General features: G+C 39.7%; 1 protein-coding gene, 1 long non-coding RNA gene and 2 other non-coding genes across 24 annotated transcripts in view, besides 1 other annotated feature; 3 read left to right on the forward strand and 1 right to left on the reverse strand.

The window, feature by feature from the left end:
* Window positions 1–11,153, reverse strand: part of BTG4 (BTG anti-proliferation factor 4) — a 130,900-nt gene extending 119,747 nt beyond the window's left edge. For 16 of the 21 annotated variants that reach the window (XR_947835.3, XR_947834.3, XR_947852.3 and 13 more), the window contains exon 1: window positions 8,609–8,814. The gene's annotated coding sequence lies outside the window, so the exon portion shown is untranslated. Of the gene's footprint in view, window positions 1–4,249; window positions 4,347–8,608; window positions 8,815–10,645 lie in introns of those variants that run through there. The other 5 variants (XM_024448589.2, NM_001367974.1, XM_024448588.2 and 2 more) reach the window with 4 other exon arrangements.
* Window positions 6,470–7,669: an enhancer, noted in NCBI's record as "MED14-independent group 3 enhancer chr11:111380767-111381966 (GRCh37/hg19 assembly coordinates)". NCBI's record gives its function as "activates an origin of replication core promoter dependent on BRD2, BRD4, P300/CBP and CDK7 cofactors, and independent of MED14, by STARR-seq in HCT116 cells {active_cell/tissue: HCT116}" and the evidence as "EXISTENCE:reporter gene assay evidence [ECO:0000049][PMID:35650434]".
* On the forward strand, window positions 7,030–10,316 carry MIR34BHG (MIR34B and MIR34C host gene). Its single transcript, NR_147706.1, has 2 exons — window positions 7,030–7,300; window positions 9,446–10,316. It is a non-coding gene; the product is annotated as an MIR34B and MIR34C host gene (long non-coding RNA).
* On the forward strand, window positions 9,366–9,449 carry MIR34B (microRNA 34b). Its single transcript, NR_029839.1, has one exon. It is a non-coding gene; the product is annotated as a microRNA 34b (primary transcript).
* MIR34C (microRNA 34c) lies at window positions 9,867–9,943 on the forward strand. Its single transcript, NR_029840.1, has one exon. It is a non-coding gene; the product is annotated as a microRNA 34c (primary transcript).
* Window positions 11,154–11,168: the final 15 nt, after the last annotated feature.

Below are 11,168 nucleotides of genomic sequence, written 5' to 3' on the forward strand. Positions count from 1 at the left end.
ATGGTGTTCTGTTTGGGTGAGGGGATTATGTCTGGGCGAAGAACCACAGAAAACAAGAAATAAGAGGTTCTGGCCATTTGGAGTGAGGATGAAGAACAGAAAGGCAGTGAAGCAACATACACATATTTTATTTCCTATTATGCCTGTAACAGAGAATCAAATGGTATAAAACATGAATATGACTGACATGACCTTGTACAAGTAATAGTTTCTAGAATTGCATTCTTCATTTTAAAATTAGGAAATTCAACTTGATGGCTAAGGAATAGTCAAGCCCCAAAGTTCATCGATGAAGGTAAAACTCGAAAATCTGGTTCTACATTTGTCTTCTTGGTTTTTGCTAAACTTCACTTATAAAATGAAAATAGTTATGCTTATAAAAGTTTTAAAATAGACAAAGTAATTTTAAAATATCATCTGAATTGAATGTTAAATTTGCTGGACTTGTGATGTAATAACCAGTCTTATCATAACCCCATTTCATTTCTTTAGCTTCCCTCCCTAAACTACAAGTTATATCCGTAGTCTCACCCCTCCATTCACAAATACATGTTATTGCTAAAGAGGGGAAAGGTATAGATGTTTTAGCAAAAGTCCACTTCTGACAGAAAGTATTTTTTTAACAACAGCAAGCAAGTAGCACTATTTTATAAAATAATGAACTGATTCTGTAACCCACACATAAACTCAGTTCCATTATGGTCAAGCCACATAAAAGGAAGTTACATTAATTGCTGAAACAAAATTGCATTTCCCAAAACATTATCTAATAAAATTCTACAGCCATACAATGTTGATTTGAACTCAAAAGAAATTAATTTTAGTGCAGCCTAATCAAAATAAAATTCCTTTACCAATAATACTAAGCAAGTGTTTTATCCGCCACAAGCTTCTTCCTAATTTGTATTTTCTATCTGCATTACTGAGCATTCACAATGTAAGTGGCATTGTTTGAAAGACCACAAAAAATACATACATTTATATAACGTTTCAAGTTAGAAACCAAGATAACTCCTATTCAACATAGTACTGGAAGTCCTGGCCAGAGCTATCAGGCAAGAGAAAAAAATAAAAGGCATCTGAATTGGAAAAGTAGAAGTCAAATTATCTCTGTTCACTGACAATATGATTGTATACCTAGAAAACCCTAAAGACTCCTCTAGAAGACTCCTTGGCCTGATTAACAACTTCAGTAAAGTCTCAGGATACAAAATCAATGTACAAAAATCAGTAGCATTTCTATAAACAGTAACATTGAAGCTGAGAACCAAATTAAGAATCCAATCCCACTTAGGATAGCCACGAAAAAGACCAAAATACTTCAGAACACATTTAACCAAGGAGGTGAAAGATCTCTACAAGGAGAACTACAAAACACTGATGAAAGAAATTGTAGATGACACAAATAAATGGAAAAACATTCCATGCTATGAATTGGAAGAATTAATATGGTTAAAATAACCATATTACCCAAGCAATCTACAGATTCAATGCAATCCCTATCCAATTACCAGCCTTGTTTTTCACAGAATTAGGAAAAACAGTCCTAAAGTTCATAGGGAACCAAAAAAAGCCCAAATAGCCAAGGAACTCCCAAGCAAAAAGAACAGAGTCAGAGGCATTATATTGCCTGACTTCAAATTATACTACAAGGCTATAGTAACTAAAATCGCATGGTACTAGTACAAAAATAAACCCAGAGATTAATGGTACAGTATGGGGTTCTCTAACCTAGAAATAAAGCTACATATATACAACCAATTGATCTTCGATTAAAGTCAACAGAAATAAACAATGGGAAATAGACACCCTATTCAATAAATGATGCTGGAAAAACTGGCTAGCCATATGCAGAAGACTGAAACTAATTCCCCATCTCTTAACATATACAAAATTAACTATAGATGGATTAAAGACCTAAATGTAAAACTATCAAAACTGAAACTATAAAAATCCTAAAAGAAAACCTAGGAAAACTCCTTATGGACATCGGCTTAGGCAAATAATTTATGATGAAGATTCCAAACACAAACGCAATAAAAAACGAAGATAGAGAAATAGGACATAAACTAAAAGTTTCTGCACAGCAAAACAAATAATCAATAGGATAAAAAGACAACTCACAGAATGGGAGAAAATATTTACAAATTATACCTCCAACAAAGAATTAGTATTCAGAATCTACAAGAAATTCAAACAACTCAACAAACATAAAACAAACCAATTGAAAATGGGGCAAAGAACATGAACAGACATTTCTCAGAAGAAGAAATACAAACAGCTAACAAACATATGAAAAAATGCTCAACATCACTAATCATCAGAGAAATGCAAATTAAAACCACATTGAGATACCATCTCACTCCAGTCAGAATGGCTTTTATTAAAAAGTCAAAAAACAACAGATATTGGTGTGTATGCAGAGAAAAGGGAATACTCACACACTGTTGGTGGGAATGTAAATTAATTCAACCTCTATGGAAAACGGTATAGCGATATCTCAAATAACTAAAAATAGAACTATCATTCGACCCAGCAATCCCACTACTGGGTATCTACCCAAAGGAAAAGAAATCATTATATCAAAAAGATACTTGTACTTGTGTGTTTATTGCAGCACCATTTACAATTAGAGCAAAGTCATGGAATCCACCTACATGTCTGCCAACTGTTGACTGGATAAAGAAAATATGGTGTATATATACACAATGGAATACTACACAATCATAAAAGAAGAATGAAATCATGTCCTTTGCAGCAACATGGATGGAGCTGGAGGCCATTACCCAAAGTCAACTAACCCAGAAGCAGAAAATAAAATATTACGTATTCTCACTTGTAAGTGGGAGCTAAAGAAATGGTACATGTGGAAATGAAAATAGAGAAAATAGACTCTGGGGACTCCAAAGGTGGGTGGGGAGGGTTGAAAAATTACCTACTGGATACAATGCCTAATACTGGGGTGATAAGTACAGCAGAAGCCCAACACGCAACATTATGCATGTAATACCCATGTAACAAACAAGAATATGTACCCCTTAAAAAAAGAAACCAAGATAACTCACTAAAATTAATTCAGAGTGTAAGAAAATGTTCCTATGTGCAACACTCTATACTAATATAAATATGTGTATATGTATCAGCACTCTATACCATTATAATAAAATGCTGAATTCAAAATACAATTAGAATATAGAATAATACTCTCTTATTAATGGAACATACTAATTTTAGAGTGACTATATTAAGTGTCAAAGTGATTAGAGAAGAGAAAGGATCAGGAAGAACTAAAGGTACTAGGGAAGATTTTACCCAGGAAGTAGAATTTGAGCTTGAGATTTCAAGAAACTATAGAGGAGCTAAGAGCAGAAAGGACAATGTGAACTTTACTAAATGTAAGCATGATGAAATCCTTGAGATATATTCTATGAATATAGAGGAAATAAAGATAACAAATGAGGATTATGTAAATTTTTTAACTAAATATAAGTTTCCCACTTTAAAAAAAAAAAGCTTAAGTGCCAAATGAGGACTGTGGAAATAAAAACAAGAATAAGCAGACACAGAGTGATGTTTAAGAGGATGGCATAAAGTATTTTCATTCTTGTAAATCAATTAATTAGCAGGATAATCAGTCTGTTTTCTCCTTTTGGCTTAATAGAGTTACAGAATACACCCTAGAGCTCTTAAGAAGGGGAAAGTTTATTAACTTTCTTCAGCTGTGCAGACTACTAACTAGCTTATTGAAACCTTAAAATTACTTTTATAAACCTGAAAATCTGAGGGTTTTTGTTTTTTGTTTTTTTGTTTTTTATTGTTTTTCATTTTTTATTTTTTTAAGAGAGATGACAGAGGCCAATCAGTAGTAGGACAAGGCCAAGAAAGTTCATCTGTTTAGTTCTAGCCTACAGAAGATCATTGATCCTTCATTGACTCAATGAATAAAGCCCTGGACAAAAAAATCTGGTAGAGCCAGTCCAATCATCTGCTGCCTATGGCTAATTCTTTACTGACCAAACCTTGGTGATGTGGTGGTGCCAATGCAGCAGATTCTCTTGAATTCGTAAGCGTATGAATTTTAAAATAGCTTGGTTTTTGTGAGAGTCCTCTCTTCTGCTTCCTGTGGGCTAACCCTTCCCAAGATCTACTTCCTCCTGTCAGCCCCTAAAGAGGAGAGGGATCCTCTCAGATTTGATCCTGAGCCTTCTGTTTTCCTCATTCTATTTTCTATTCGAGATTAATACATTACCGTCATCACCTACTCTAGTGTCCTTGATAGCAGGGACTGGTAGGTCAATGAAGAATCAGCCAGCAGACCTTTCTTGGAGAACTCCTCGTGACTTCAACTATCAAGAGGATAAAAGAGCTTCAATCTCTTTTCAGTTCTGGCCTCCTACCAGAGTTCTAACTCCACATATCTAACTCCACCACAATATTCTTCCATGACCTAAAACTAAACATGCCTATACCTAAAATCACAATTATTCTCTGACTAGATTTTCCCCCTCAACACCTCTACTTTTCGTCGAAGTCTGGAAGTTAATCTTATTCCGTTTGTTCACTTGAACCAGTTATCAACCAAGTCATGCAAAGTTTCCTTCACAAAGTTTCTCTCTTCATCCCATATTTTCTACATCACCTCGTACTGAAATTTACTAATCTCCTAAATGGTCTTTCAGTCTCCTCTGTCTCTCCCTCTTCTAATCTATGCTACTTTATGAATCCTTATAAAACAACACATTGTATACATCTGGGGCTCCTTGAGCAGAATAATGAAATTGAAACTCCCTGGGCTTTTTTTTTTTTGGTGAACTTCACAGAAACGTATGAGCAGGCAGGTAAGTAGGATCATGGAGGACTTTAAATGTTAAAGTCCTCTTTAATCTTATTTCCCCAATGGGAACACACTCATTGCTCTTCCAATTGGCCTTATACATTACAATCTCCATAAATTTGCTTGTGTTTTTCCTTCACAAATTGCTCCTGCTACCAAAACATTCCCTCTTCATCTCTAGTATTTTTGCTTCTAGGCTCATCTTTTCCATATAGCCTTCTCTGTGTCCTAACCTTTGATAATTTTCCTTTTCCTTTTTCCTAAATGTTGGCAATAATGAAGTTTGTATTAGTCATCAGGATTCCTGAAGCACTTTTTCATATAACCATCTTGATATTAAATAATTATATATAATATAAATAGAATATATAACACAAACATGAATTCTTAATCTATTACTATAAGTTATATTAAGATATATTCATATTACATACTAATATAATTAACATATTAATTATCTATATATACACACATTGTCCATCTCACCAACTAGACCACATAAATCCTTAGAGATTGTTCTCTAAAGATGGAAAATATGCAACCTGTTTGCTCCTACTGAAGCCATACCTAAGAGCTCCGGCAACTTTAATTATAGAGACTATTTTGTTAGACTGCTTATGATTTACCTGAAAGATAAATTAACATTTTATACTGAAAGCAACAGTATTGATTAATCAATAAATATAAACAAGAAGCTAATTAAGAATCTGGTGCACTCTTACTAATGAGAGTACAATGAAATGAAACTAGAAATATGGAATTATAAAAACCGCTGGCAGTTCATTTTAGCTCAAAAGAAAATCTTCTCCCATAAATAGATTCAATTATTTTTAGTTCTTCAAAGGCACTGAATTGACTTCAATTTAGTCTTGCTTCAACATATAAACTAGTTTCTAGGTATACTATCAAGAAGTTTAATAATCTGACATTTATTGATCTATAAACCAAGATATGGTTTTATATTTCCTATGAGTAAATATGCATTTAAAAAAACAGGTTTAGGCCAGGTGCAGTGGCTCACTCCTGTAATGCTAGCACTGTGAGAGGCCAAGGGGGGTGCGGTGGATCGCCTGAGGTCAGGAGTTCGAGACCAGCCTGGCCAACATAGTGAAACCCCATCTCTACTAAAAATACAAAAAATTAGCCAGGCATGGTGGTGGGCGCCTGTAATCCCAGCTACTCAGGAGTATGAGGCAAAAGAATCGCTTGAACCTAGGAGACAGAGGTTGCAGTGAGCCAAGATCACGTCACTGCACTCCAGCTTGGGCAATAAGAGCAAAACTCCATCTCAAAAAAAAACAAAAACAAAAACAAAAACAAAAACAAAACAGGTTTATAAAGAAGCTGCTAAAATCCAGTAATTTCTAATTAGTCTAATTCTTCATTTCTTCCTCTTCCAACAACATCCTTCAAAAGCTGTGGGAGATGGTGAGTTTGTATGTATTGAAGGGAGGGATATGTTGTCTCCAATTGTCTCCATCTTTTTTTTTCTTTTTTCTTTTTTCTTTTTTTTTTTTTTTTTTGAGATGGAGTCTTGCTCTGTCACCCAGGCTGGAGTGCAGTGGCACGATCTCGGCTCACTGCAACCTCTGCCTCCCGGGTTCAAGCTATTCTCCCACCTCAGCCTTCCAAGTAGCTGGAACTACAGGCGCGCACCACCACGCCCAGCTGATTTTTGTATTTTTAGTAGAGACAGGGTTTCACCATGTTGGCCAGGATGGTCTCTATCTCTTGACCTCGTGATCCGCCCGCCTTGACCTCCCAAAGTGCTGGGATTACAGGTGTGAGCCACAACCCCCGGCCTGTCTCCACCTTTTCTAATTCCCAATTCCCATCAATCTAGTCTTGTATCTAGAAGTGGTAAATTAAGTCAATATAAATGTGCCAAAGCTAAAGCAGAAGGTATTTGTTTTCTACACTCTTCTTGGCTTCCTCCTAGTCATCAACCTTGTCTCTCCTGATAGCTCCTTTTCCATCTCCCTAATCACCAAAAGCCCAGAAATTAAAACAGTAAACAATTCCCCTGAAAGGTGCCTTCCTTGTACTGTCTAAAACAAATGCAATCCTCTGTGTGGGCATTTAAAACACCACAAGCATTCTTACTTAGATTAAATCATGGGTCTCCCTGGTCTCCAGGCATGCCTAGACATGAACCATAAAGGGAATGAGATCCTTGGAGTTTCTCTAGTAACTGCAGGCCAAATCAACAGCAACCCTAAGAACAAGCATTCTTTTTTTTTTTTCAACAGAACTAGGCCACACATATTTTTTGTCGTTATTTAAATTTTTAGTTGTACTACATAGAAAATAAACTCATTTTAAAAAGTTATTTCAGTAGGCAATGCATCTTCATGACTTTTACATATGAGTTTTATTTTTTATTACTTTTGAAGAAAAGTCTGTAGAAACCTACTTTTCAAGGCATCTGACCCAACCATTGCCTTGGATGGCAGCAATCCAGCTCAGGTAAGATATTTAAGATGCAACTAATAATCATAAAACATCAGTTGGGAAGAAGTGTTCGATATAGTATTGGGTAAAAGTGACTAACAATTTGGTAGAAGAGAATCATTTTTATAACTATCTCCTAACCAAGATTTCTCTAAGTCTGCATATTGTTAATGGAATGAAGACTATTTTGCTCCTAGTTTCATGTATGTATATTTAGGTGAATGTGAGTCATTTATGTAATGTGTGCTAAAACACCGTGCCCCTCACAAAGATAAGATGAATACAAAATACAGTTATTGTAGATGGCTTGTCTTTCACAATTTAATTCTACGAGTTAATTTTTACAATTAACATTTTCTGTGCTACATATTTTGTATTTTGGTTTCTTTCCCTTCACTATGGGGTGTACAGAACAAAGTATGCATTTGGAAAAAAAGTGCTGTCTTTCATATGCAAAGAAAATGCTATAACTTATTCAAACATCCTTGGGCAGTTCTTTAGTTGTTTTAATAGTGTGAGTTTGTAGTTTGTATTGAATGATCCAGATGACCTGCCCCTGTTCATGTTACTTGTGGCATCTATGAGACCATTTGCTGGTTTTAGGGAATCAATCTATAGGTGGGAAGTTTTCTTTTGCAGAAACTAATTTAGAACTAAGCCTTTGGTGTCAGCAATGGGTGCTCTATACTGGATGCATGAAGACCATATTTCTAGGGGAGGCTGCTTCCAGCTGAATTTCACAAGGTGAGGATAAAGAGAACATTCCTTATCCTCTCCTGATTAATTCATTAAAGGCAAAGGAGGGGAAGGAAAGTTATTAGCAGAGATCTCCCAGAAGTCCTCTGTAACTGTCCCTTTTGCCCAACTGTCACAAGATACTGTTTTTCTGGCATCCACAGCCCTAACCCTGAATATCCAAATGTACTCGTGCATCAAGGATCTACTCAAGTCTCACCTCCTCTGGGAACCTTCTTTGACCTATTACAGCTCTCATTGAGGACCTCCCTTCTATTTCTGATACAAATAGTTTCTACTATTCTAAATAGTCCCTAGTTTAGTAATTTATTATATATATACTGTCTTGAATGGTATGGCCTTGATCTCAAGAGGACCACGATTTGATGTAACTAACAAGCTGCCTGGCTCACTATTTGACTAGAAGGCCCAGGCTTCACATCACTGCATGGCCCTCTAAGAGTATAAGGCCAAGTCCCCAACAGAGCACAGAGGTGCAGATGAGACTCTCCAAGCCATCCTCCCATATGTCAGAGGCTACCCAAGCCCACCTCCATTTGGAAAATTCAAACCTATAATTTGAGGTACCTGGGAAGCCGCTTTCCCAGGGCGGAATGGTCACGGAAACTGGGTAGGCTGGGGGCCTTCTTGGGGAATGAGGGAGTGGAGGAGCTCTTTGTCCCTCCTGCTAGATCAGAAAGAGAAACGTCTCAAGAATCTGGGCCTCCATCTTCTAGGCGTCTCCCTTGGAGGCCCTTCAGGGACCGCCCACAGCGCTTTCTCTCAGCCTCCTCCCCCCCCCCATCCCCTCCCCCACCCGCCCCGTCTCGCGCCCGCCCCGCCCCTCGGCCCGCGGGGTTCCAAGGACGGTTGGTCGCCCCCGCCACAGTCACTCGGCCGCTCAGAGCGGCGGGGCGCACGGGGTCGAGAGAGCCAGCTCTAGGGTTTGGGGCTGGGAACTGAAGCCTGGCGTGAAGGAAGTGGGAGCCCGGGCCGAGGAGGCGAAGGGGAAAGGAAAAGCGAGGGGAACCTGAGCGGGAGGGCCCTGAGAGGAGCGGGAGGCTGCGGGAAGGGGAGGCCTGGCACTCCTGGGGGTCATGGGGGTCGGGGCGCGGCTCCCGGCCTGGGAGGGCGCGGGTCCTCCCCGGCAGCGCCGCCCGCTGGCCCAGCTACGCGTGTTGTGCGCTGCGAGGCCGGCGGGGGTCCCGCTGGGCCCGGGGGTGTCCTCGGGGGCCGCTTGCGCCCAGCCATGGTAGGGCGTCCCCCGGTGAAATGGGGTCCGAGGCGGGCCCCGACCCCGCGTCGGCGCTGCGGACCGTCCGGGAGCTGCAGCCGCGGGTGCCCGGTGCTCGGTTTGTAGGCAGTGTCATTAGCTGATTGTACTGTGGTGGTTACAATCACTAACTCCACTGCCATCAAAACAAGGCACAGCATCACCGCCGCCCGGCCGGGAAGAAGACGCCGGCTCGGGCAGCCCGCAGCCTTCGAGAGAAGATGCCTGAGAAGCGCGGCGTCGGCGTGGGTCCTGCGCAGCCTGCCCCGCGAGCGCCCGCTGCAAGTGCGAGGAAACCCGCGGTTTCTCCAGATACAGTTAAACTGTTAGCTCTCTCTAGGAGTCACAGAAGATGAAACAGTCTCATGCCAGGAAAGCAAAATCCCTGGAGGTGAAGCCCCTCCATCCATGTAACGGTTAATACTGTATGCTGTGATTCACTGTGTCTATTTGCCATCGTCTAGTAGAGTATTCACCAAGCTAGCAACTCAGTTGAGCTCCAACTCAACCAATGAATTGCCTGCCTGTCACAACGTGTTGGGGTACCAACTTGAGACTGCAATTTTTTCTATGAGTCTAGTTACTAGGCAGTGTAGTTAGCTGATTGCTAATAGTACCAATCACTAACCACACGGCCAGGTAAAAAGATTTGGGAATTCGTCCAAATGAGCTGCCTGTGCATCATCAATGTGCGTGGGGAAGAGGGGTGTTGGAAAATGCTGATTTCATCCATTGCCTATTAATTGCTCAGCCAAAAGAAAAAAATCAACATTTCAGCTACTAAGTTTACAATGTATGTAATGTGTATGTATGTGGGGTTTTGTTTTGTTTTTTTTTCAATATTCCTTCAGGCTCTTAACCAAAATTTTAGATATAAGGGGGAATATGATTTTTTTCTTAGCTGACTGATGTATGTTATTATATGAACATGTGATTATTAACTTCTTGAGACTATATTGTTAGTAATATTTTGAAAGTAATATTGTTAGTAATATTTCGAAAGAATAAAGTGCCATAAAGACATAAATTGTGGTTATTGCTATGTGTCCATTTCCTTTGCTAAATTGACTTTATGATGTCCATCTCAGTTCCTGCCACAGTAATCTTAACTTTTCTATCAATGAAGTGGTTAAGTTGTTCCTGCCATGACAAAAATCTCCCGGGAAAGCTACTCATACACACAGACTTGTTAATACTTTTATAAGAAATACATTAACAAAATTTTTCATACTTCTTTTTTCCATGAAGAGACTCTGTTCACTCATTAAGATGTATCCCTTCTTTTAAGTAATCATTTACAACTGTTGGAGTCTATGCAACTTTTAGTGGGAGTGATTAGTAAATGCACTTACACTTTAAATCCAGCTTGTTTCCTAAGATTTAAAGGATTCAGAATTTTAAAATCACAGAAACTGTACACATGGGCACGTATCCGCCCAGTTCAGGCCTCTAGCTCCCAAGGGCTAGGCTTTCAGGCGTGAATTCTCCAGCGCAACGTTCTCAGAACTTCCACCTAGCAGGTGCTGTCCCTGGCAATCTGGTTTGGAAGTGGGGATTGGGGCAATGGGGCTGAGGAATTTAAAGTTTATTTAGCTATCTTTCTGGGGGGAGGGGAGAGGATGTGGCAGCCCACTGAGGATATAAGAAGCTAAACTACTCCCCCACTGACTCCGACAGGACACAACCCAAAGTTGACGTTTTGACTCTCCCATATCCAAGATTTGGACTGGTCCTAAAACCTGATCACCGCAGGGGTGGGCTTCCGACGGCCCCCACGCGCGTGGCGGATCCCAACACCTACCTAGGAAACCGAGGGCAGCCGGCAGGGGCTGGTACCAACTTGGCGGTTCTCGGAGGGGCGGGGCAGGGGCGGGG

The sequence above is a fragment of the Homo sapiens genome, chromosome 11, assembly GCF_000001405.40.
Source record: "Homo sapiens chromosome 11, GRCh38.p14 Primary Assembly".
Lineage (NCBI taxonomy): Eukaryota > Metazoa > Chordata > Mammalia > Primates > Hominidae > Homo > Homo sapiens.